This window comes from Homo sapiens, chromosome 12 (genome assembly GCF_000001405.40).
Source record: "Homo sapiens chromosome 12, GRCh38.p14 Primary Assembly".
NCBI classification, from domain to species: Eukaryota; Metazoa; Chordata; class Mammalia; order Primates; family Hominidae; genus Homo; species Homo sapiens.
In genome coordinates this window covers 106,745,662-106,773,245 of record NC_000012.12, presented here as the reverse complement: position 1 = coordinate 106,773,245, position 27,584 = coordinate 106,745,662, and the positions used below count along the sequence as shown (strand labels likewise).

The window sequence follows — 27,584 nt, the reverse complement described above, 5'->3', positions numbered from 1 at the left end:
ACTGAATTTGAACTCAGAGCCTGTGCTCTTTCTGCTCTCCCAAGCTTTTTTTTGATGGAAAGTGGATGAATTCTCCAAGTAATTTCAAGTTTTCCATTCCAAGCAGCCTTTACCCATAATCATCCTTGATGTCTCCCCTACCAGTCTCTCCCTCTTGAGCTGTGCTGAAGAGGAACTAGAGGGGGCAAAAGTTTATTTATCTAATGATTGAATTTCTTCTATGCTGTGGTAGATATTCTGCTAGATACTGGGAATTCGGAAATAAGAACGAACATGGGACCTGAGTTTATGGAGCTTTTGGTCTTTCTGTATATTATACTTTCCATGCAGCAAACATTTATTGAGCATATTTGAGTCAGGCATTGGGGTAGGTGCTCTGTAATAAATTAAGTCAGAAAGATTTTAATCCATCTCTCCAAAAAGCACATTTTAGTAAGGTCATGGAATAGTTAGCTAATTTTCTAAGCTAATAGTAACATCTTGCAATTGTTTTTAACAGTTTACAGAACTTTTTAATACTTCTAATCTCAATGGATCATTGGGGAAGGTATTGTTCCCACTTTATAGATAAGAAAACAGGGTCAGATGAGTTAAGTAACAAGAACTGGGACAAAAACTGAGAGCTGTTAACAAAGTATTTGGGTGCCTGCTCTGTGTCCAGTACAGAATTAAGTGCTTTGGGGGTATCCATATATTTATTTTTGGAGCAAGGGTCTCCCAGAGACGATATTAAACGAGCACAAAGTATCTTATTTCCGTAGAGATGTTTCTCTTTAGAATTCTTTTAGAAGGTCTCTGACATTTCAGACACATGTCTTTGAAATGTCTGTTTGCCAGAAATAGGCTATGTTTTTAGTCTCCAACTCTGTACTTCTAAAAAGAGATTTAAAAAATGTAAAACGAGATGAATTAATGACTTGGGAAGTTGTACTTTAGTAATTTTAATTAAATGTTCATATTCTGATTTTGTAACTCAAAGGGATCTTTGACTCTAATTCAAGTCATCTTTTGACCACTGACGAGACTCTGGTTCCAGAAAAATTAAGTGGCTTGTCCAAGGTCAATAGCAGACTCTGGGAATGGAGCCTAGACTAGCTGAGTCCTAGGTCACTACATCACTTTACCTCCTTGAATATTAGTTACGGGATACTTTCAGGGACTAGAGACTCTAGTCCTGTTCTGACTTCACTTCCTGGTGATGCTTGAGTGGCATGATAGCAAGGAATTAATATTTAGAGCCTTGGTAATCAAAGCAACAAATATTTTTTCACAAGTCGTTGCTCTTACAAACAGTAATATAGTAATCCTATATATATCTATGGATAGAGATTTTAAATTCTTAAAATATCTCCACATAGATTATTTGATTTAATCCTTACTATAGCTGAAATTGCAAGATCAATAAGAGGCACTATTTTCTTTTTTACAGAGAAAAGGGAAGTTCAGAGTATTGATTAGCTGGCTCATAAGCAAGGAAGTTTGCTAATAAGTGGTATAGTTAAGGGCTAGAAGCACCCTGGGCTCTGATAACATAAAATATTATGGACTTTCAGGTTAGGGCCAATGAAAAAGCCTGCAAATAGATACTAGTCATTTATTTTGGACTTTGATATATCCTGCTGTGGCATTTCCTCTTGCCATGACAATGGGCTAGTTGGAATGTGCCAAACTGAAGGTCTTTAATGAGTACCTGGTGCTAACAGCTTTTAAAATTCAACTGTTATAATATTTTGAATACATTTTCTTTAGAAGAAAGCAGAATTTAAAGCCTTGGCAGTTTGGTCTATTGGCTACAGCTCCAGAACTGGAGTTCAGAGAATTCCACTAATTCAAGATATGACTTGTCACTCAGCAACCACCACCTCACTATGTGAGGCCACTCACTCAGCCTTTCTTGAGGTTTAGAAATTTAGAACTGAAATAATAGCTGGATTGTCCCACAGTGTCCTTAGCTGTTAAACTAAGGGATTGATCCAGATATTATTTCAGTTCTAAATTTTTCAGTTCTAAAATTTTGTGATTCTCGGAAAAACAAAACCACCTTTAAATATGCTAATTCTTTAGAAAAACCTATTATGAAGAGTGGGGATGTGAAAATCAATATGTGCAAATCAAATATCAATATGATATATGCAAATCATTCCTTGGGCATACCTCCAAAGATTCTGATTCAGTTGATCTGTGGTGAAATCTGGATACTGGTAGTTTTAAAAGCTTCTCAGTTGATTTGAATAAGCAGCTAGTATTGAGAACCACTGGATCAATATTTTGATAGAGTATCTACCACTGAACTGGTTTTTTGATAGACCCCCAAACTCATGTGCATGTAACTCATTAGTCTTTGAGAAATAACCTGACAATATGAAAGTTATTTTTTTGGCCGGGCACGGTGGCTCATGCCTGTAATCCCAGCACTTTAGAAGGCCAAGGCGGGTGGATCACCTGAGGTCAGAAGTTCAAGACCAGCCTGACCAACATGGAGAAACCCCATCTCTACTAAAAAAAATACAAAATTAGCTGAGTTTGGTGGTGCATGCCTATATCCCAGCTACTTGGGAGGCTGAGGCAGGAGAATAGCTTGAACCTGGGAGGCGGAGGTTGCAGTGAGCCGAGATCGTATCATTGCACTCCAGCCTGGGCAACAAGAGCGAAACTCCGTCTCAAAAAAAAAACAGAAAGGAAGTTATTTTTATTTCATTTTTTACCAAGAATGCAGTCTCAGCCGGGTGCGGTGGCTCATGCCTGTAATCCGAGCACTTCAGGAGGCCAAGGCAGGCCGATCTCTTGAAGTCAGGAGTTTGAGACCAGCCTGGCCAACATGGTGAATCCCCATCTCTACTAAAAATACAAAAATTAGCTGGGCGTGGTGGTGCATGCCTGTAACCCCAGCTACTTGGGAGGCTGAGGCAGGAGAATCTCTTGAACCTGGAAGGCAGAAGTCGCAGTGAGCCAAGATTGTGCCATTGCTCTTCAGCCAAGGTGACAGAACGAGACTCTGTCTCGGAAAAGAAAAAAAAAGAATGCAGTCTCCCTTTGATAGCAAAGTTACTTAACATAGTTTGATCTTTTAACACATATGTAGTGCTCACTGGAGCACAGCATTGTCTTAGATACCATAAAAATTTTTTAAATTTTTCTTATATCCTTTGGGGATATAAGAAACAACCAAACAATAAAGTAATCTTTTTTACTGATAGGAAAAAACAAATTGAACATAGTACTGTGTAAATCAAAGCAAGATAAACATTAATGGGAAGGATAGTAGTCAGAGTAGCCTTCTTGAAGGAGGTGATCTGTAAAGAGGGATGGTGGAGAGAGCATAGAGGGCTCCAAAACGGGGAAATGCTGTAAGAAAAGGTCAGGAGGCCAAAATTAATGAGACTCTTGTTGAGAAATGACACCAACTTGGTTGAACTTGAAAGCCAGCAATGGCGATTTCTTAGAGGTCAGTTTGGTCAGTGGGAAAGGAAAAGTTAAGTATGAGAGATGTTTCATAATCAATGACGACTCTGTAACCAGCCAGTCCAACTTCGACTTACAACATGTTGCATTCCTGAAAACGTTACCTTACAATGCTGTAGGACATAAAATTAAATAGAATTGGGAGACAGGAAGGGAGAGTCTGTTGCTGACTGTCTTCAGATCTTTATGCACATTATTTTATCTCTATCTCATAAAATTAGAGTCGGACTAGATGACTTCAAAGGTTTTTTTTCCAACTCTTAAAAATTTACTTGATTCAGCCTTTCAGCACCTTTATGAGGTTCCTCAGTAATATTCACTGTATTCTGATTGCTTAAATTGAGTCCATGCCGTTAGTCCTAGGCAGATGTCCCTCTAGTTGTTTAATATTGATTGACTACCCACAGTGGGACTCTTAGATTAAGCACACAAAATGGGCTCTGCCCTTTAGGAGTTTTTATTTACCCAAGAGCAGGAATGTGGGTCAGACCTATTTGCATCTCGCTGACTTGGAATCCCATCCAAACACCTCTTGGGAAAACCCAGCGCTTTGGGTGGCAATGTTGTAATGTGGTGAAAGAACCCGGACTGAGAATCGGAAAACCTGGTTTTTAGCCCTGACTCACTGTGTGAGTCTCAGAAGCTGATCATTTGTCAAATTCCTTGAAACCCTTCTGGCAACCAATTTTTTGTATCTAACAGGAAAACCCGAAGCTGAAAGACTCTAGTTTGAATTTTAACTCTGGGTGTACAGGGATAAATCACTTGCCGTCTTTGAGCACCGATTTTTCTCAACTGTAATGAGCATAATTATACCTACTTTGCAGTCAGTTGGAAGGGTTAAAAGAGATGGCTGTCAAAGTGGCCAGCAAGGCGGACCTGGCATGGAGTAGCCACTAAAATGTTAGCTGAACTGGAATGAAAAATGCAACCTTCCTTAGAAAGATGTGAAGATTCAGGGCTAAACATCTTGCTGTTCCTATGGATGCACAAATGCATGAGTTTTGTTGTTGCTGCTGTTGTTTTTAACAACAGCAAAGTGATTCCATTGTGCTGCTTTGGTCTTTAGACTTCAAAGTTAACATTTTAACACTGACATGCTGTAAGACAGTTTTCGGGTAGTGACTGTTATGTGTATGTGTGTGTAAATAGGAATCTAAAACACTCTTTCAGCACCCCCTTCCCATATCAATGCCTTTGCAATTAAGTTTATTGAGATTCACATGTCAGAGGAAATATATTCTCACAACCTTTCTTCCCACCACCTCCTTTTGCAGTAAGGCATTAATTTACTTACCAACATTTGATTAAACTCTTAAGGTTCAACCCTAGGAGGAGGTGGCGGTGGACAAAGGATTATTGTCATTCATCATCAACACATTTTAGTCTTCCCCTTGAGTTGCCTATGAAGGATTAGCATTTCCCTGAAAGGAGGAGGACAGAATAAATTGCGTCTACCGCCAAAGAACTGCCAGCTCCTTTCAGCTGGGGGCACATACCGGGAGCTTTTCCCATATTAGTCAGCTTTATCTCAACTTTTGGGCAGTGCCTACATCTGAATTTCATGGGTTTCAGGGTCAGTCAAAACAGAATTGTAGGGCTGTTGAGGTCAGAGGCCACCTCTGTCAAAGGGTAGTGACCTTAACAGCAAGAGGTAGCCAGTCTCCTCCGTGCTCCCTCCTCCCCCACCCCAGTGACTTCATTCCAGTGAATGCTTGGCTCATTGCACGCCCCCCTGCAGAGCTTTTTTTTTCGACCTGGTAATAAAAATCCTCTGTGACCTGGTATTTTTTTTTCGTTATTATTGATTTTCTTTTATTCCTGTTTCTCTATAGAATAACCAAATCTCAGTCATAGATAATGCACTGGTTTGTTTGTACGTTGGGAAATGACAGAGGGAAAGGTAGTCTGCTATTTATTTACAGTGAGCAGAATGCCACCTCTGGTTTAGGGGAAGATCTGGTGCCCAGCTTAGAAACTGCCTGCAGTTCGTGAGCACAAAAATTTTCCAGAACTTCTGAAACTCTCTTCCACCCCAGTAGGTTCTATTACCACAGTCAAGGTTGATTTTTAAAACTGCAAAACTGCTTAGGAGAGGGGAATGGAAGTTAGGATAGGGGTGGGAAGGTGGGAAGAAAAGTAGGAAGGAGGAAGAGTGTGCTTTAGTAGAAAAAGCACAGACAGGCTCTGGAGTAGTATTTCTTTTATTGTGTTTTAAAAATTAATATATAGAGAGAGACAGAGTCTCACTATGTTGCCATGGTCTTAAACTCCTGGCCTCAAGTGATCTTTCCACCTTGGCCTCCCAAAGTGCTGTGATTGTAGGTCTGAGCCACTGTGCCTGGAGTAATTTTCAGATCCCAGCTCTGCCACTTAAACTGTAACCATCAGCAAGGCATTAAGCTGCTCATAGTCTCCATTTCTTCACCTGTAAACAGAAGCGATTATGCCACTGGTATTGCAGGGAACTTGTGAGAAGCAGACATGGTGAGTCTAATGTGCCTGATACAGAGAAGACTCCAATAAATGGGAGACTCCGTGGATTAAGGCAGATCTATTTCAGAAATATGCCCCTGAGTGTGAGGTGAGGAGGAAAGAGTGTTGCAGACTTCTCATTTAAAGATCATCCTTCTGCCTCAACTATATTTTGGTTCTTAAGACATCTTGCAGTTTATTGTTTCTGAGAGGTGTAGCATATGCCAAGACCTTCTAGATACCGTCCCTCACGGGCACAGTTTGATAGTTCCTTAAGAATTCACTCTTTTAAACTTCACTCAGAGGCTTTTCTTTTCTAGGAGGAGACTTATAAATACCAAATATCAGCACTTCAGCTCTTTCTGAGTCTGATTCTCTTACCCCTGCTGTCACGGTCAGACCTCATTATTTTTCATAATAGATTTTAAACAGCTGGTTTTTAGCTCTTGAGGCATTTATGATGAGAAAGGGAGGCATATAACTGGGGAGTCCTATTTCTCCCGCCCACCAATTCTCTTCACCCACACTCCTTTCCTAGCAACAGCTCTTTCTTCATCTCTTGTGGCCCACGTCTTCCGTCCCACCTACACCAGCAGCAGCAAAATATGGGGGTGAGAGGGCGGCGGCGGGGTTGGGGGAGGTTGAGACACAGGAGGGGGATTGGGGGAAGAGCTTCAGGGAGGAGGCTGGTGAAGCACAAAAGGTTCTGACCTCCTTGGAACAAGAGGAAGCCCCAAGCACTGTGTCCAAGCTGGCTTAGCTTGGGAGGCTGCCAAGGAACTGAAGCAGAGAAGTTCCAGGTTAGAAGGGCAGGCAGCAAAGTGGTAGGGAGGTGGGGGTGGCTGAAGGGCGAACAGAACAGCGCAGTTTAGGGAAAGGTTTGTCAGCTAAGGGAAAACTATGCACAGTGTAGGTTACTGTGGAGTGTCACTACTTGCACAGAGCATGGTTCTCCACTCTGGACAGACAACACTGCAAGAGAGAAACCTGGGCCACATGTTCAGGGAATAGTAGTCCCTGAAGTTTAGAACTTGAGGGTGGAAGGGATCACGTTTCTTAACCTTGACTGCATATTGAATCACCTGGGGAGCTTAGAAAAATACTGATGCCTGGGTCACATTCCAAGTCATTATTTATTGTGGGTGGGACCTATGCATCAGTATTTTTATCTTTACTAATTTATTGAGACAGGTCTCTGTCACCCAGCCTGAAGTGCAGTGGCCCATTCATAGCTCACTGTAAGCCCAAATACCCGGTCTCAAGTGTTCCTCCCACTTTAGCCTCCTGAGTAGCTAGGACCGCAGGTGCATGTCACCACAACTGGCTAATTTTTAAATTTTTTGTAGGGATAGGGTCTCACTATATTGCCCAGGGTGGTCTCAAACTCCTGGCCTCAAGTGATCCTCCTACCTCGGCCTCCCAAAGTGCTGGGATTACAGGTGTGAGCCACTGCACCTGGCTTATACTCAGTATTTTTAAAAAGTTGACCAGGGAACTCTAATGGCGCCAGGGTTGAGAGCCACTGACATCCAATCCTACTTTAGAGCAGGAATGCCCCCTCTACAACAACTTTGGTGAAACCAGAATTTGACCTCAGTTCTCCCTCACTTCAAAGTCGCAAATGGGCCAATTTTTTAAAAGCTTATATTGATGATGATTTGCATACTTAAGGCTCTTGCCCGAGTCTGAATTCTATGCCTCTGCTCTCACTAGACTTCAGAGAGCTTTCCCCTAGGCTTCAGAAGACCTATGGCAACCCTTCCCCAAGTCTCTTCCACTGTAATAATGGGGGTATTTATGCTATCCCTCTTCCTAGGATTTAATTTATATTCTTTTTTTTTCTTTTTTGGTTTTTTTTTTTTTTTTTTTTTTTTTTTTTGAGACAGGGTATCACTGTCACCCCAGCTGGAGTGTAGTGGCGCAATCTTAGCTCACTGCATCCTCCCACCTCAGCCTCCCAAGTAGCTGGGACTACAGGCATGCACCACCACACCTAGCTAATTGTTGCATTTTTTGTAGAGGCACCTGGTCGCCCAGGCTGGTCTCAAACTCCTGAGCTCAAGCTCAAGTGATCTACCCACCTCAGCCTCCCAGAATGCTAGGATTACAGGCGTGAGCCACCATGCCCAGCCTTAATTTTTTCTAATCTTGCAAGTCTGCCTTTAAACAGTGCAAGAGGTTGGGACAAAATAACTGTTTTTGCTGTCTTTCCTTCTCTAGATTCACTTCAGACATTTTGACTTTACTTTAAAGCAAATATTAAGGCCAGTTTTGAAGAGAGAGGAAAATTGCCAAACACTACTATCCAGAGTTGTGTAAGGGAGGATGGGGGTTGGACTCATGAGCCTCACTCTGTGTTATAGCACCAGCTGGTGGAGCCAGTGCCTTCTCTCCTGTGGCTCCCTGCCTGAATCACTGCCCAGCTGCCAGTCTACTCCGTTTTTTGTTTTCCCTAAGCGGCCCGTCCATCCTCCTCATCCAGATCTGCCAGCCCTGGTCCATCAGTGCAGACTGTAAGTTGGAATGTCATAATCATGTAACACAACTGCTTGAGGTCCAGAGTGGGGAGGTGAACCATTCAAGGTCACATGGCAGTTTCCACAACTCCCCCTGGCCCCCCCACTGCCATTTAGGTTGGGCTTACTCGATGGCAAACATTTTGGGTTGGTCTGTGCCTGGGTTTCAGTCTCAGAGGGGCCACAAATTCTCTTTCTACCCAGAGCTGGGGTGTACTAGAGGCCTGACAAAGGACACAGCAGGATGGAATCTGAGGACACCACAGGCCTGCAATGTGGGTGAGCCATCCTGGCTGCTCTTCATGACTTCAACCAGTTTCAAGCTGGCAGAGTTCTTTTCAGAAAAAGCCCTAAGAGGGGAGGGTCCCTTTATTGCCAAGATTCTTCTGTTCTTCCCCTGACAAGTGACTGGCCCCACTCCCAGCTGCCAACCTTGCCCAAATTTCCCATTCTGGTGACTGGCTGGGAGCTATCAGAGGGAAAGAAGGTGCATTTGAGTCATGTGCTCACAGCAGCTGTTGCCTTTTCCTATTCAGATCTTTCCCAGTTCTGAAGTTGAAAGTTTTAAAACAATTGGGAACATAGGTACTGCTCGGTTCCCAAGAGGTAGGCACCTTGTGCTCTGGAGAGAAGGCCCAGTGGTCTTTTGCCTTCATCTGAAGCTGCCTTCTTTTCCAGGGTGCTAATGATGCCTAGGTCTTGGTTGTGCTAAGAAAGGGAGGCACACATTTTCTTCCTTGCAAAGTTCCTGGAGTGACCTATTCTCTGGGCTTCAGGCCCTTGTTGATTATGACTAGTTTTGCCTAAAGATTTGTTCAGTTAATGAACTTGTGGCTGTTACGTGTAAATGGGTGTCCTATGCTGTTGTTACCTGACTAAAGAATTTGGTGATTACTTTTTTGTGCTTAGTAAGTCAAAAGTCAGACTTCCTACACCCTTTCATTTATTTAAGGGAGCTCTAGCTTTGAATTGTAAGAGACAGACTGGTCTGGTCACTCTCAGGTTTATTTTTTGCAGTGACTAAATCTGAAATTTCATTCTTCCTTTTCCTTACTTTCTTTATATGAAAGCCAACTAATGGATTGTGGTCAAAAGATCAAACTAATTGACCATCAGAAAGTGAAATTCAACATCTGCTTTCTTTTTGTAGAACAATATAGCTAAATATAAGGGGATGCTCTGTATATAATTTTAATCTTAAAAATCATGTTCAGGTATAAATATATTATGTAATAGCAAGTAAGAACCTGGCTTTAAATATAAATCTTTCAAAATGCAAATTGAGTTGTCAAGTTCTCATGCCTTTTAGTTAATATACTCACTACTCCCATTTCTGGAAATCTGTGGTTCTGAAATTCTCATAGATCCTAGACTCTTAATGTTTGAGAAAAACACCATCATTGTACTTCTATACCCCACTCCTTTCAGCCTCAGAATAAAAATACAGTGCTGGAGAAGAATTTGTTAATACTTATTAAGTATTCAGTAATGTTACTGTTCTGTTCCAGAAGTTTATTAGCATTTAAAGCACTGCACTTGAAATATCTTTACACCTAGTGATCATTAAAGCATAATGAACTAAGTACCAAGGGACCTCTTAATGGTGTTGGTATTGAAGAATAATATTCCCTATAAGAGCTGAAAGGTACCTGCCTTTGAGTGACACTAACCACTGTGCAAACTTAGGACACATCTCTGTGTGTAGAAGAACTGGTCCCCTACAAACCTCTATCAGGCTGTAGGTACTATTTTTACTTAATCATTATTCAAGGCCAGGATGTGTGGCTTATACACATTTTAATTATTATTATATGACAAGATGATGGGGAACTGGATAAACACAGCCATATAAGACTACTTAGTTTTTTGCCCTGCCTACTTACACCCTAAGTATTCAGAATGTTTATACACACACACACACCGCCCCCCCCCCCCCACACACACACACACACACAGGTCATGTCAAATGAAAAGTCAAAAGAAAGCAGGTCGTTTCAATATTTTTTATTTGAGTGTGAAACCATTCATATCTTGCACAACTGTACAGATAAAACTATTTCCATTTTAGCTGTAGACACAATTATCACACTGAGTGGTGTGATCAAAGATTTTATTTACAGAACAGTTGCTGAAACATCCGATGTCATATTTCCATTTATTTCTTACCCATAGGGTAATAGGTCCACCATAATTGCTTGGTGCATTTTATAATACAGAAAGAAAACCTATATTAATCTCTAACAAACCTCACAAATTACTACAAATCTGACAGAAAAATGCCTACAAAAAATTCTCCAAAAGTACAATACATTTTTATTTCCACACATACACAGTATAGTATAGGCTCAAAGGCACAGCTTTGAATTTTTTTCTATCAAAGTGTCGGATATTATTATAGTTTTATGAAGGAACCGTGAAAGTCACTTTCACACTTGGTGCTTGGTAAGTTAAAGTTTGTTCCATCCAGTTTCACAAAGTTAACACAGCAGAGCTGAGTGTGATACTCAATGCCATAAATCCACATTCTCATAGAACTTAAAAAAAAAACAAAAACCCTCTCCTGCCTTTTGCTGACACTAGCCATTGTGCAAACTTAAGACAAATCCTTGTATGTAGAAGAACCAGTCTCCTACAAACCTCAATCAACTTAAGGCAATACAGAACAGACCTCTTCCTTCCCTCAAGACAGTGCTTACATTCCAAGACAATGCAGGTACTGTGACAGATGTGGGTATGACAGAAAATCTAGAGTTTCCAGATAGCTCCCCATTTAGCCCTGGTGCTCCAGGAAATAGGGATGGTACCACCAGGAAGAAGGGATGTGCAGAACACGTCTGAGGGCTGTTCCTTGTACAGTACAATGACAAGACAGATGGCAAGGTGAATGCTCTTGGTAAATTATGTGCCCATCCAAGAACACAAACCAGATTCTGTCTCCAGTATCCATCCTTCAAGACTAAAGAGATTTTGTCAACAGGAAAATCAGTAGCTTACTAGAAGTGGTTGCCAACACAAAGCAAAGTCATGGAACAGAGGGAAAAGGCACAGAATGGCCTGCCCGAGATAGTGCTCTACAGAAACAGTCAAGTCTGGCTTGGCTACAGAAACCCAGTCCCACTGACTTTTAGTAAGTCCTGTTTCTGAACTAAAGTTTATTCATCCCACATTGATCCCATCCTCATGTTCATTAGGAAAATGGGCACTTAGGAATAGCCCATGAGTTACAATGTATAGAGATAAAGTCTTCTGGGGGATGGGTGTTGGGTTTATTATTATTATTAATTATTATTATTAATATTAAATATGGATGCCTATGATAGCAGTCATTTAGCCCATCCTGTAGAGGCCTCTCCGTTGATGTAAGCAAAGCCAGGAAAGTGTTGCATGTGCTCATATTCAGAATTCCTGCGCGTTGTCAGAGGTGTATACATGTCACTAGAGTTTCCGTACCTCGCAGAATGCACAGACGGGCTTGTGTAGCACGTGTTGGCTGAGGGCACCTCTGGCCAGCGGGGAGTGACTGGGGTAGGATGCAGTCTGGGAGTACTGCTCATCAAACAAGGTTCCATCCGGGAAGTGGGGCTATTAAAAGGGTACTTGTTGAGGGGAAAGAAATTCCACAAAGTTAAAATTAGCTTGAGGTTGCATATACACAATATCAGTCATGTTTATAGTTTAAGTTAAATTTCTTAAGATGCTATTAATGAGAGTTGATGGAGAAGAATCACTGAACTTCTACAAGACTGAATATTGGTCTTAGGGAAGTCAACAGGAGAAATGCAAAAGATTTCATAGCCTGAGTTGGGCTGGTGTTTACTCATGCGGTTATACTGGCTTTCTGTTCCTAATCTACAATATCTTGGGAAGTCAAACCCAAAATGAGAAACAGCCACACCAGGAATACAGGAAAGTGTGTGTTTGTCACACACACACATACACTAGTAACTGCATGTCCAGATAAATAAATATGGATGTACAGATGGATGGTAGTGAGTTTTATCATTAGTTATGGAGATGTGATAGGTCCTAGTCTGTCAACCCAAGAGCATAACACTGCCAAGTAAAATACAATGATGTTATTAAAAATAACATTTTACAGTTGAATTCAATTATAAACTTCAGCCTAAAAGCAGGCTTTTGAAGAGGAAGCAAGTCAACAATTTCGAAGGTTATTATTAGTGCCTATCATTTAGAGAACATTTTTCTTTTTGGCTCACATTCACTGAACTCCTGGAAGATACATGAATAGGAATTGGGCTTGGTGTGAATGTGGAGGAAGGAGTCAAGAGAAACCAGTTGAGAGGGGCGGGGAGGGGAGCTTTTGTGCAGGTCAGAGGAACAGGTGTTAGTAGCTACAAGAAGAGGGGAAGTAGTTCTAGAAAGGATTAGGAGTAAGAGAAGTGCTTCTGAAGTGCTTCTTCTTTTACATTCTTTTCTGTTACCAAGACAGCTATGCAAATAAGCCCGTTAGTAGGATCAGAGGGGAGGAAGGGGAGGAGCTATGGGCTTCCTTTGAAAGCTCCCAGTCTGCAGGCCAGTCAGCACAAAGATTTCTTTGCTGTGCTGAGGGCTACACCAACAAGGACAGGAGCCAATCAACAAGGATGGCCAGAGCAGCGAGGAGGAGAGAGACTGTGTGAATGTATGAATTCTTCTGCTCCCCATCTGTCTTCCCTGACAGTTGGAAAGTGGAGGCCCAGGGGATTAGGTGGGAGGCTGCCTCCTGTGAGGGAGACAGACAGGCTGAAGCCTAGACAGCAGGGAGAAGGGGTTATGACAACAATGGCTGCTCCCTGGAGTCTAGGTGGCTACAGGGAACTGCTCTTCCTCTGTGAGTGAGAGCCTAAGGGGAGCTGGGGAAGGCGCTTAGGCCGGAAGCATGCAAAGAGAACCAGCAATTCAGAGGTCAAGAAAGAGGGATCCCAATTTGAGTAGGGAGGGATTTTTCCCCCTACATAGGATGGCATGCCTTACATAGCAAAAGTACAGCCACTTCAGAACCAAAAGAACAGTTAGGAAAGAGGGAGAAGGGCGTAGGTGGTGTCTGGGAACTCAAGGGAGAAGGCACCAAGGGCTGTTGCCAAGGAGACTATGGACAGCACGCCAAGGCTTTCCTAATCCCAAATCAGATCAGAAACACTGGCGCATACCCCTGTGCTCTGCGTCATGGGAACCTACAGGATGCTGTTTGTGTGGCAGCAGTGGTGGACCCTCAGGCCTGCACAGTGGGATTCTAGCACAGGAACCTCTCTAAATCCCAGTGAGACCATAGTAAGATTGGGCCCTGTCCCAAAAAACAAGATCCCAGGTGTATTAAACAGATAACATTAGGAACTATTACTACAAAACAATCCTTACTTTTTCAAAAAGGTTGCTTGCCCCACCTGGTCTTCTCTCAAGTCAACTCCTGGGTATCACCTCACCTCCTGGTGCTCTCCCTGGCACAGAGGCCTCCCTTCTGGTCCCATGGCATGTCAAGCTGGTTCCCATCTCAGGGAACTCTGTCCTACCTGTGTTCCTTGTACCTAGAACCTTCTCTACCACCCCTACCCCTGGCTCCTGCCATGCCTGCCCTTTTGTCATTCTTTAGATCTCAGCTTAAATGTCACCTCCTCGGAGAGACTTTTCTGGAATCTTATCTCAAGAACCTAAACACCCCAGCCTGTGCCTCTCGGGCCGGGGCCTTACCATCCTGCCTGGCAGCTAGCTAGGTCTTTCTTTTGGCTTATATTCATATGCTCCTGATGGGGCTTTGCTGTGTTCAACACCATGTTCCCAACATCTGGCATGGTGCCTAGCACCTAGCAGGTGCTAAATAATAGTTGGCAAATGAACATTGGGACGTTACTACTAGAAAGAATTTTAGGGATCCTGTGATCCAACCCCATGTTGTACAGATGAGAAAGCCAGGCCCCATGAGATCAAGTGTCCTGCCCAAAGTCACACAGCAAGCTAGTGGAAGAGCTGGCATAGAAACCCAGTTGGGGAGCACGCTTTCCTCACATTGATATGACCGTCCCAAAGGAGGCTGACCTGCCACTGCCAAGTTACCCAGGAGCAGGAGAGCACTCCCTTTTTGGAGGCCAGCCCATTAGACTTTAATCCCTCTGCTCCTCTTCCTTCACTAAGCTGCCTCTTCCCCGACAGAGCTCTGGGGCCTTAGAATTCTCACCTGGCCTCAGCTTGCTGGTTCTGACAGAGTCCCCCTTGCCTTGGCTCATGTAGGTAAAATGTCACAGAATGGACTTGGGCTCTTTTCCACAGAACCCGAGAGAGTGTGGCTTTTTTGCCTAGTCAAGGACCCTCGACACAGCTGTGCTCAGAAGTTGTGTCATAGACTGAAAAGAGTAATTGCCTGGAAACAAGACTGGCTGAAAATATCTCTAATGTGACAATAAAATTCTGTTACCACAGAATCCAGCATGGAAAATTCTGTCCCGTTAGGTCAGCTAATTGCAAATGAGTCAGTGACTCGTTTTCCCTGTAGTGAAGAGACCATTGAAAGACCAGTTAGCTGAAGTGCTCACTGCCTTGGCCTGGTCATTAACATGACCAATGAAGCTTCTATTTAGTCTGGTGGGAGTGGCAGAGGCTGGCCCGTGGCACCCGCCTCACCTCTCACACTTTACATCCGGTTTCATACAGGGTCCTTAAGCATGCTGGGCACAAATTCCAGGGTCCAGAGATCTCTGTCTGGAATAAGGCACCTTTTGTTGAGGGCCCATAACAGCAAGTTACCATTCTTTGGATCAAATCATATGCTGTTGCTACTGATTTTAAAAAGGACATAAGTCACCAGTTTACCATCCCTTGAAAGGAGTGTATGAGAGGTGCCTGTGTGCACATGTGTGTGCCTGCACACACAGTCCAACGTTCATCAGATGCCTATGGCAAAAGCCCATCTCAGCTGTGACTGACTCTTGCTCTCTTTGGAACCATATTAGGAAGATCTATTTTGAGAAATGACTCTCCACACCAAGGGCTGACTTTCCTACACATGGAGAGGGAAGAAAGAGCCCTTTATTCCTGACCCCTTACCAAATGAGCTGCTACTTGAACAAGGGGTGAAAGGTGGCCCAGTCAGGAGCACAAACTGTTTTCCTATGAAAGGCGGCTCTCACTGCACCAAAGTACTGCCAGAGGGCTCACCCCTAGCCTCTTAGCTTCTTCTGGAGAAGGATGTAGCTCCCAAAAAATCTTTGTCAGACAGTCCACATCTGCTGAGCTTTTTTTTTTTTTTTTTTTGAGACAGGGTCTTGCCCTGTCACCCAGGCTGGAGTGCAGTGGGGTGATTTCAGCTCACTCCAACCTGTGCCTCCCAGGCTTAAGTGATCCTCCCACCTGAGCCTCTCAAGTAGCTGGGACTACAGGTATGTGCCACCACTCCCAGATAATTTTTAAATTTTTTGTAGAGGTGAGGTCTCACTACATTGCCCAGGCTGATCTCAAACTTCTGGGCTCAAACGGTCATCCCACTGGAACTCCTGGGCTTCCAGCCTCCCCAAGTGTTGGGATTACAAGTGTGAGCCACCATCCCTCTGCTGCTGAGCCTTTAGAGTCAGGATTAGTTAAGTTATTACATGTGAAACACTTAGAACTCCTATGTAGTAAGTTTTCAAAAAGTGTTAGCTGTTATTAATGTTCTTTTTAGAATCACAGGGTCATGGTCCATTAATGATAGGAAGAGCCTTAGTGACTGACCATCTGGTTCTACCTCTGGGTTTACAGATGAAATAATTAAGGTCAAGAGAAGGGAAATGATCTACTGCAGTCACACAGCAACTTAGTACCAGAGTAAGAATCCAGTCATTCATTCATTTCATTGACAAGTATTTACTGAGCACTCACTGAGGGCCAAGTTCGGTGCTAGGCCATGGGAATATAATGGGGAGAGAAAAAGGACTTGGTCCTGGCTTTCACAGAGCTAGTACAGTGAGGGAGACAGATCTTAATTATAAAATTACCCTAAATATAATATTATAACTATGGTGTTACAAAGGATAATAATAAAATGTGTTAACTATGAGCCAGGCCCTGTTCCGACCTTTATTAACTCACTTGACCCTCACTGCAACCCTGTAAAATAGATACCATAATTATCCTCATTTTTCAGATGAGAAAATTGAGGCACAGGGCTAATTGGAGGCAAAGCTGGGATTTGAACCCAGGGAGCCTGGCTCTACAGTCAGAGATCTTACAACACTATCATTGATTAATTTTTTTTTTTTCTTTTTGGCCCAAGACACCAACCCAAAGTACAGTGCCCTAAGCAAACTTTGTAGCACCCAATGGTCCTGGGTTGGTTTGAGCCAGGCTGCTGAAGATTCTGTGAGAGGGGGTGATTAGCTGATAAGGCTGGGCCTCTGCCTTTCAGATGAGAAATAAGGGACAGCTTTCCAGTCTAAGTGTGATCAAATGGCTTTTGAGCTCAAGGTCCCCAGTTCCACTATGGCTGCTTGACAGGGTAGAGGTTCTATGAACATGTATTGAATGAGGCTCAGAAAGATTTTGTAGCTATGTACTTGGTCTGGTTTATTTTCTCCTTTTGGTTGGGCCTGGGAATGGGGAACCTGGAAAGAGGCAGCTTACTTTGATGTGAACAAGTGCAGCACAGTTGCAATGTTTTTCCAAAATAATTCAAACCTCACGCTGTGAAACCTCATTCATCTGGACTCACTAAGTCAAAAGTTACAAGAATCTAAGCAGGGCTGGGAGGTTTACCTTTGTAGTACCCAGGAAGAAAGTATATATTGTGCAAATAAGTAGTGTAAACAAGGGCATACACATATTCTATTTTGAAAACAAATGACTTAAAATTATTTTGAGCATATAAATGCTGGGAAACCTACAATTACTGCACTTCATAGATGTATCAGCCCTCTAAGGCAAATCTAGCTGGCATTTATTTGCAGTAGTTTCAGTTACTTTTGTGCTGATGACCAATTGCATTTCTCCAACCATATTGTATACTTGGAATTTGTCTTCCAATTCAGACTGTCCTTTTCCCTGGTGAGTCTGATGTAGTGAAGTGTGATATTCAGTTACTCAGAATTGGAACAGCTTGACCCCTGCTCTGGAAAGCTAAAACTAATTAGCCCTGCAGTGGATTTTCTCTATGCTGAACCTTAAACCAAAGAACCAATAAACGTAAGAAATAAGGTTATCTTGGGGTGTGTGCTTCTCTTTGGCAACTTGAAACTTACTGAGAATAGCAGCAGTAACCTCTTGAATTCACCTTCCACTCTCCGAAACAGTAGTATTAAGTACCACTGGTTTAGCATTGGGTTTGAGAGCTGGAGGATTTGCATTTGAGTCTGCTTTGTCCCTTACTGGATGCATGACCTGGGGCACATTACCTTCTGAGGCAGTCTACTTATCTTTAAAAACTGAGGGAAAAGTCTAGGTGTGGTGGTTCACGCCTGTAACCCTAGCACTTTGGGAGGCCAAGGCAGGAGGATCACTGGAGCCCAGGAGTTCGAGACATGTCTGGTCAACATGGCGAGACTTTGTCTCTACAAAAACACAAAAATCAGCTGGGCTTGGTGGCATGTGCCTATAGTCCCAGGTACTTGGGAGGCTGAGGTGGGAGGATCACTTGAGCCCAGGAGGTAGAGGTTGCAGTGAGCCAAGATTGCGCAGCTGCACTCCAGCCTGGGTGACAGAGTGAGATCCTGTCTCCAAAAATGCTTTCTTCCCAGGGTTGTTAGGGCAATTAAGTGAGTCTGTATATTTAAATATGCCTAGAACAGTGCTCTGAATAAATGTTAATGAAAAACAAAACAAAGGATACTTTGTCTTTAGACAGTACCTTCCCCCAGAGAGTATATTTTGAACACTGACCTCACTCATCAACCTGGGTAGAGACTGATATAATTAATTTCTTCCCACCCCATTTTACAGATGGAGACTAAGGCATAAACCATGAAGTGTGGAGTGTGTGTATATTGAGGGGAGTGTCAGAGGCACTCGTCTAAGAGTCACAAGGCATGGTGGCGAAGAGCCTGGCCTAGGACCCTTTGGACTCTCACACCTTGTCTGGATTAAAAGGGCCCTTCCATGGGCTTTCACTTGTCCTTGGGCCATTCTATTAAGACCAGATATTAAATGGCAGTGTTCCAGTTGGGGACTGTTGTGGCTTCCAGAGCAGGACCTCATAGGCCTTGAGGAGACCTTGGCTTCTTTTTATGGCAATGGCTTTAAAAATATCACCCCAGAAAACCAGCTCCTGCCATTTCATGAGGGGGAATGAGGAAGTGAAGAAGGAGGGAAGACAATGCCCAGAACTATGGCTTGATGATGCTGTCTCCCACTGGAGCATAAGCTCTACCAAAGCAGGCATGCTCTGTCTCCTTCTCACTGTACTCCCAGTGGCTAGTGCAGTGCTTGCACATAGTTACCCAGGAGCCATTTGAGAAATAAATTAATGAATGAATGAGATGCTTGGAGTGTGCGGAGTGATCTAGGCTGTTGCAGCCGTTCTCAGTCATGCAGTGGATCACAGTGAGGAGCACAGAGTGCTCCCAAGAGACGGAGCTCCTAAGGAGCTGGCATCTCTGTGTGACGCAGTTGGAGACCTATAATGAATGCCCCAGGTGATGATTTATTGGAATCAACTTCTTGGCTTGTCTGGGGATTAAACCAGGGCTCCCCTTGGTACTGCAGATGGAAATCAAAACAAACACCTGTTTGCCCAGAATGCCCATGTGTTGTGGATACGTTCTCCTTGGTGTCCTCCCTCAGAGACAAGTCTTTGTGCTAACAGCTGATGTAATTACAGCCTCCATGCTAGCGTCAGTCCTGCCATCTCATTCCTAAACTTCTGCAAGTGCTTTGGAGCAGAGCCCCCTGCCTCCACCAGTCCCCCTTGGTTCATTTTGTGGGGGCCCTGAGAGCTCTCTTTCTTAATCATAGCTCTGATCTTACCACTCCGTAGCTTCCTGTGCCTGCAGAATAGAGTGAGCGTGCTCAGCACACCATACTATTGTTCATGCTGACGCCACCTCCCATGTACTCATCTGCTCAGTGTACACTTAGTGAATGCCTGCATCTGAGAGGCGGCAGGGGGTGGTGCCTGAGAGCTTGGACAGGAGTCACAGCGCCTGGGTTCAACCCCTCAGGCAGGTTACTGTGAGTCTCACTTCCTCTTCTGCAGGGGTTATCTAAGGGATGTGGAGAGTGCTCAGCGCAGAGCCTGGCATACAACACGTGTTCAGGAGAAGGTAGCTCCTCTTTCTGATAGGTGCCAAGTGCTGTGACCTGAGGATACTGGACTTCATCTTTGCCTTCAGGGAGCTTAGGGTCTCCGTGCGCGTCAGACAGGAAAGTTGGTGATGATAACAGGGTGTGAGAAATGCTACTGAGAGAGGAAACCCAGGGAGTGGCACCTAATAAGGTCCTGGAGGACTCAAGGTGGTACTTTCAGGAATGCCACAAAGACGGCAATATGATTGCCATGAATGCCCATCATGAATGCCCAGCCGAAGAGACTGGGGAAGAGACACCCAGCCAGAGGGAACAATTTCTGCAAAGACATGGAGGAACTCGGCACATCCAAGACAACCACATGTGGGCTGGCATGGCTGCGGGGAGGGAGGGAGTTTGTGAGTAGGCCAGAAAGGTAACCAGTCTTAAGAGACATACTAAAGAATTGAACTTGTCCTGGAAAGCAATGATGTGCCAAAGACAGGGAAAGTGTCACGGTCAGTTGGGTTTTTTTCCGAAAGCCTCCTCTAGCAGCAGTGTAGGGGGTGGACCAGAGATGGGGCACATTTTAGAGGCATAGAGACCACCAGGAAGGCTTCTGTCTTCATCTAAGCTGGATATGATAAAGGCCTGAGCTGAGACGAGCACAGAGGGCATACAGAGATACTTAGGATGCAGAGTGGAACTGGCCACCAGTCGGATCAGAGCCAAGGCACAGGGAAGTGTTAGACAGGTAGAGTGTCCAGCGGTGGTTTCCCAAATGCAGCCAAGTGCAATGGCCTGTCTATTCCCCACAGGCCACAGAGGGCTGATTTGGCTTATTAGACAGTGAGGAGCCCAAGGAGATGTAGGGCCTGAGAGTGATTTGAAAAGGGATCCATTTCAGGAGGATTCTTCGGCTTAAGATTACCTGTGCGGGCTGGATGAAAAGAGCAGACACGGGACACCCCAAGGCCAGTTAAAATGATGTTGAGAGACCAGTCCTGACAAGACTCCATGAGGGTCTGCACCAGGAGAGTGGTGATGGGAAAGGAGACCCAAGGCCCAGGGTGAGGGTAGCTGCCCGAAAAAGGGCAGCAGACATGCAGCCAATTAGATCTTGGCATGAAGAGGTCAAAGAGGGGATAGAATGAAAAAAAAAACTGTTTAGCGACCAGGTGTGTGAGAGCAAATGGAGCATGAACACTGGCCGAGCACCCACTGTGGGCCAGCCATTGGAGGCCAGAAATGACACTGATGAAAAGACTGTCCTACAGTAACCAAAACAGCATGGTACTGGTACCAAAACAGAGATATAGATCAATGGAACAGAACAGAGCCCTCAGAAATAACGCCGCATATCTACAACTATCTGATCTTTGACAAACCTGAGAAAAACAAGCAATGGGGAAAGGATTCCCTATTTAATAAATGGTGCTGGGAAAACTGGCTAGCCATATGTAGAAAGCTGAAACTGGATCCCTTCCTTACGCCTTATACAAAAATCAATTCAAGATGGATTAAAGACTTAAACGTTAGACCTAAAACCATAAAAACCCTAGAAGAAAACCTAGGCATTACCATTCAGGACATAGGCATGGGCAAGGACTTCATGTCTAAAACACCAAAAGCAATGGCAACAAAAGACAAAATTGACAAATGGGATCTAATTAAACTAAAGAGCTTCTGCACAGCAAAAGAAACTACCATCAGAGTGAACAGGCAACCTACAAAATGGGAGAAAATTTTCGCAACCTTCTCATCTGACAAAGGGCTAATATCCAGAATCTACAATGAACTCAAACAAATTTACAAGAAAAAAACGAACAACCCCATCAAAAAGTGGGCTAAGGACATGAACAGACACTTCTCAAAAGAAGACATTTGTGCAGCCAAAAAACACATGAAAAAATGCTCACCATCACTGGCCATCAGAGAAATGCAAATCAAAACCACAATGAGATACCATCTCACACCAGTTAGAATGGCAATCATTAAAAAGTCAGGAAACAACAGGTGCTGGAGAGGATGTGGAGAAATAGGAACACTTTTACACTGTTGGTGGGACTGTAAACTAGTTCAACCATTGTGGAAGTCAGTGTGGCGATTCCTCAGGGATCTAGAACTAGAGATACCATTTGACCCAGCCATCCCATTACTGGGTATACACCCAAAGGACTATAAATCATGCTGCTATAAAGACACATGCACACGTATGTTTATTGCGGCATTATTCACAATAGCAAAGACTTGGAACCAACCCAAATGTCCAACAATGATAGACTGGATTAAGAAAATGTGGCACATATACACCATGGAATACTATGCAGCCATAAAAAATGATGAGTTCATGTCCTTTGTAGGGACATGGATGAAATTGGAAATCATCATTCTCAGTAAATTATCGCAAGAACAAAAAACCAAACACTGCATGTTCTCACTCATAGGTGGGAATTGAACAATGAGATCACATGGACACAGGAAGGGGAACATCACACTCTGGGGACTGTTGTGGGGTAGGGGGAGGGGGGAGGGATAGCATTGGGAGATATACCTAATGCTAGATGAGGAGTTAGTGGGTGCAGCACACCAGCATGGCACATGTATACGTATGTAACTAACCTGCACAATGTGCACATGTACCCTAAAACTTAAAGTATAATAATAAAAATAAATAAATAAATAAATAAAGACTGTCCTCTCCTTGGGGACACACACGCTGCACACACAGTATGCATAACAGTTTATGAACTGTGTTAACCAGATTTGGCACCAAGTATACCAAGGCCTGGCCAAGAAACCAGGACCACTGACTCACCTGTGCAGAGCTCCTGTGGTAAGGGGCATAGTGGAGTGGCCCAGAGATAGCTGTGTCATGAGGGAGGGCCGGATACTGGCTCTGCATGGGGTGAGGATGCTGGTTGCCATAGCTCCCATAGTTATAGCTTCCCGTGTATCTAAAATGCATCAAGCACATTGAATAGTGTGAGTAATAGCAAGAACAGATCAGTTTGACACCTTTTTAAAAACCTCATCTATTTTTTTTCCTTTTTCTTCTTTTTTCTCTTTTCTTTTCTTCCCCCCTTCACCCCCAATCCCATTTTTCTTTCTTTCATCTGTTTTTTTTTTTTTTTTGAGTCAGGGTCTCATTCTGTTGCCCAGGCTGGAGTGCAGTGGCATGATCTTGGCTCACTGCAACCTCCGCCTCCTGGGTTCAAATGATTCTCCTGCCTCAGCCTCCTGAGTAGCTGAGATTACAGGCATGTGCCACCATGCCCGGCTAATTTTTATATTTTTAATAGAGATGGGGTTTCACCATGTTGGCCAGGCTGGTCTCAAATTCCTGACATCAGGTGATCCACCCACCTTGGCCTCCCCAAATGCTGGGATTACAGGCATGAGCTACCGTGTCCGGCCTCTTCTTTTTGATTCTTACCATTTCCACTCTTGTGGCCTTGTTATGGTTAACTTAAAACCCCAGGTTGATTTTCCTTCTCCCTCAACACCTAGAAGATACCTCCCTTACCCCCCAGCCAGCGTTCAGGGATGAAATCTAGCCCTGAGCCAAACATCATTAGTGATGGAAACCTCTACTCCTGCTGTGTTTAAAACCCCTGTTGTATCCTGAAATCAAATAGGGATAACAAAAAACAAACCACTGTGAGATTTATGTTTTTGTATCACTCAGGCCTCTGCTTCCACATCATGGGGAAGGATGTAGTGGGTTTCTGTAAGCTGTCTCCTGGGGGGAGAGCACCATGGCGTGTTCAAACAGGCATCAAAGACCCTGGTTCTAAATCAGGCTCCACGACTTTCTAGCTGTGTGACTTTCATGACCCTGTTTCTCACATCCATAAAAATGCTGCGCACGGTCATTCTGAGGATCGTATGTGTGAACACACTCCATAAACCAGAAAGTCCTGTGTAGACATAGCCTATTATTATCACTGTTCTTCTTAGTAAAATATTTATGGTAAAGATGCTGACCTATGACCATGTGAGTATTTTTTCTGCTATTTCTGCTGAATCAAAAATCTCTCTGAAACAGAGTTTTCAGAGTCTATTCTAAATGTGTGGAAATACTCTCAAAGGCCCCCTGAGAAAATAATGGTTGCCCGATTGACTGCTCAGGGGCACTTGAACCTATGGAAAAGTACACCAACATCCAGGCCTGTGCCCACTGTCAGGTCACCGCCGTGCTGCATTATGCTGGGCCAACTGTGGAAGGGACCTGAGAAATCCTCCCCCTCCTCCTCCCATGTCCCCCACAACTGGTCTGTTGGAACCTGGCCTGTGAGTGGTGAGGCCCACTGCACCACATGGTAGGAGCTCTCTTTTTTTTTTTTTTTTTTTTGAGTTGGAGTATATCGCTCTATTCTCCAGGCTGGAATGCAGTGGCGCGATCTCAGCTTACTGCAACCTCCGCCTCCTGGGTTCATGCAATTCTCCTGCCTCAGTCTCCTGAGTAGCTGGGGCTACAGGCACCCACCATGCCCAGCTAATTTTTCTTTTCTTTTTTTTTTTTTTTGAGATGAAGTCTCCCTCTGTCGCCAGGCTGGAGTGCAGTGGCACAATCTCAGCTCACTGCAGCCTCCACCTCCTGGGTTCAAGCAATTCTCCTGCCGCAGCCTCACGAGTAGCTGGGACTACAGGCGCGTGCCACTACGTCTAGCTAATTTTTGTATTTTTAGTAGAGACGGGGTTTCACCATGTTCGCCAGGATGATTTCGATCTCCTGACCTCGTGATCCACCCCGCCTTGGCCTCCCAAAGTGCTGGGATTACAGGTGTGAGCCACTGCGCCCAGCCCATTTTTGTATTTTTAGTAGGGAGATGGGGTTTCATCATGTTAGCCAGGCTGGTCTCGAACTCCTGACCACAAGTGATCCACCCACCTCGGCCTTCCAAAGTGCTGGGATTACAGGTGTGAGCCACTGTGCCCGGTCAGGATCTCTTGTTAATATCATAAGTGCTTTTCAGATCACTGCTCATTAGACATTGTAAGGTTAGTGTCTTTTGATAAAGACAGTGCATAATGGCAAAGAGCTATGAGGATTCAAGTAACACTTTTGTATGGATTTGTAGTTCATTCATCACAGCAACATCACTCCACGTATTTGAAAAAGAAAAAAATATGGGCAAAACAAATGATGCATTTTTCCAGGGCATAAAACACCGCTAGAACCTATGGGAAATCCCCTGAACCTCATGAATAACTGCAGCCTAAAGGGACCTCCAGCCCTCAGGTGGGGAAGCCCTTCTCTAAATGGAATCATAAAAGACTTGAACCTAAGATGAAGCTCTGTAATTCTGCGAAGTGTACAAAGAGCCACCCAGGGGAACTGCTGAAAGGGGTTTTCAGCTGAGGCGTTAAAGGAGTAAAGAGGGAGGAACACAGGCTTTGGAGTCAGACATTTGCTCAGTTTAGGCCCTACCATGTGCCAGCTGTGTGACCTTGGGGAATGGAAGATAACCAAACAAGTTTCAATTTCCTCATCTAAAATGGGGTCACTAACACCTTCTTACCTACCTACCTACCCTGGTTGTTGTGGGGATTACACAATACAGTGCTCAGGATATTGTGGGAACTCAGCAAAGGGTAGCACCCTTCCTGTTCTTTGAGAAAATAGCTGCTAAGGAAACCCCTCTTTAGATCTTTTTTCTTTTTCTTTTTTTTTTTTTTTTAAGACGGCGTCTCGCTCTGTCACCCAGGCTGGAGTTCAGCGGTGCGATCTCAGCTCACTGCAACCTCTGCCTCTCAGGTTCAAGCAATTCTCCCACCTCAGCCTCCCAAGTAGCAGGGATTATCGGTGTAAGCCACTATGCCTGGCTAATTTTTGTATTTTTAGTACAGACAGGGTTTCACCACGTTGGCCAGGCTGGTCTCGAACTCCTGACTTCAAGGCCCACCTTGGCCTCCCAAAGTGCTGGGATTACAGGGTGTGAGCTGCTGTGCCCAGCCTCTTTAGATCAAATTTTAAAAGTCCAGCAGCATCCCTGGAAAGTTACCTACCCATGTTCCTCTCTGTGGGGATAAACTGGTATCCTGTGTGTGACGGAGGAAGAAGGCACATGAGTGTTCCTCATACAGGGCAGCTGTTGGGAGTTCTCAGCTGGGGACCCAGCAGCCGTCGTCACTGTGTATGTTAGAGACCACGTGTAAGACTGCATTGCTCCTGCAGAGACAAATTAAGACGTCTTGATCATTAACAGTTCTCATATCCCTTGTTCTTCCTTACTTTAGTGGCTTCCCTTTGTTCTTAAGTTGAAGGCCAAAATCTTTATAAGACATGTATCTCTGACTCTGCTGAGCTCACCAGAGGCATCCCCCATCCCCTGTCTTTGTTTTGTCTGGTCCAGCCACAGTATCTTTCATTGTCTCCAGAGTACCACAATTCCCAGCAACTCAGGGCCTTTGCACGTGCTGTTTCTGCTGCCTTATTACCCACTCATTCTTCCTCTCACAGTCCAAAAAGCTGTCCTCTTCCTAACCCCAGACTAGGCCAGATCCCTCACTGTACTGTAGGCCTAAGTGGTGCCTACTGCAATTTGTAATCCTACACCCATTAGTGAATGTGATTAGATTAATGGCCCCCTCACTAGACAGAAAGCACCATGAGGGTAGGGGCCTGGCCTATTTTGGCCACCAATGGATTCCCAGTGCTTAGTACAGATCCTGACTGCCAAAACACTCAATAAAAATTTTAGAAGGGAGAAAAGGGAAGGGAAGGATAGGAAGAAAGGAAGGGAGGGCGAGAAGGAAAAGGAAAGCCTGGGGAAATACAGCCCAGATAGGCACTGCAAATTAACTTTTCAGCGCTCAACTCAACAGGTGTTAAGGATCCAACAAATTGCTTTAAGCAAACATAAGTAGATTACTGGGCTCTGCCAGCTCAGGTCTTTTTGAAGATTATTAGACAGTGACCTGGACAGTGACCTATTCCATACAAATTATGAATTCCCTTTGTCTATTTTTTAATTTAATTGGATACCTTGAAAGTGCTAAAGACTGGGGGATAAAAACCTGACAAAATTAAATGCTTAATATTTTATGAGATGGTTAGTTTTTTTTTTGTTTGGAGACAAGCTCTCACTCTGTCACCCACGCTGGAGTGCAATGACATGATCATGGCCCTCACTGCAGCCTTGACCTCCCGGGCTCAAGGGATCCTTCCCCCTTAGCCTCCCAAGTAGTTGGAACTACAGGTATGTACCACCATGCCCAGCTAATTTTTAATTTTTTTTTTTTTTTTTTTTGAGATGGAGTCTCACTCTGTCACCTAGGCTGGAGTGCAGTGGCATAATCTCAGCTCACTGCAACCTCCACCTCCTGGGTTCGAGTGATTCTCCGGCCTCAGCCTCCTGAGTAGCTGGGATTACAGGTGCACACCACCATGCCTGGCTAATATTTGTATTTTTAGTAGAGACAGGGTTTCACCATGTTGGTCAGGCTGGTCTCGAACTCCTAACCTTGTGACCCACCCGCCTTTGCCTCCCAAAGTACTGGGATTACAGGCGTGAGCCACCGCACCTGGCCTTTAAATTTTTTATAGACACAGGGTCTCACTATGTTCCCCAGGCTGGTCTTGAACTCCAGGTCTCAAGTGATCCTCCTACCTCGGCCTTCCAAAGTGCTAGGATTAGAGGCATGAGCCACCGCTCCTGGGCTAGAATTTTTTTTAATGATAATTTGATAAATCATTAATAGCAATACTAAACTCATCAGACAACTTAATTTCTGATAAATTTTAAAATATGTTAGTATGGTGGAAATAATTAAACTTGTTTTAGAAGGCAGAGGTAATGGGATTCAACATCCCCCTTTAGGTACATGGAAAACATGAAAGAATTTAAGGGAGGACATTTTTAAGGTGAAGTAAAAGAGAAAATTTGATCTCCCATTCTGTATTTTCTGCAGCAGACCATTTCTATCTAAAAATTCCTCTGGAAA

General features: G+C 44.0%; 1 protein-coding gene and 1 long non-coding RNA gene across 4 annotated transcripts in view, besides 1 other annotated feature; one reads left to right on the top strand and one right to left on the bottom strand.

Moving 5' to 3' along the window:
• Nucleotides 1-27,584, top strand: part of LOC100287944 (uncharacterized) — a 278,422-nt gene that overhangs the window by 1,586 nt on the left and 249,252 nt on the right. The window lies entirely within an intron of this gene.
• Nucleotides 10,443-27,584, bottom strand: part of RFX4 (regulatory factor X4) — a 179,800-nt gene continuing 162,658 nt past the window's right edge. For all 3 annotated transcript variants that reach the window (NM_213594.3, NM_001206691.2, NM_032491.6), the window contains 3 exons: nucleotides 25,647-25,809; nucleotides 22,453-22,591; nucleotides 10,443-12,049 (listed from right to left, as the gene is read on the bottom strand). In NM_213594.3, coding sequence (NP_998759.1) covers nucleotides 11,777-12,049; nucleotides 22,453-22,591; nucleotides 25,647-25,809 — 575 coding nt within the window. In that variant the 3' untranslated portion in view covers nucleotides 10,443-11,776. The remainder of the gene's footprint in view (nucleotides 12,050-22,452; nucleotides 22,592-25,646; nucleotides 25,810-27,584) is intronic.
• Nucleotides 19,235-19,284: an enhancer, noted in NCBI's record as "active region_6948". NCBI's record gives its function as "activates an Ori minimal core promoter by ATAC-STARR-seq in GM12878 lymphoblastoid cells {active_cell/tissue: GM12878}" and the evidence as "EXISTENCE:reporter gene assay evidence [ECO:0000049][PMID:35858748]".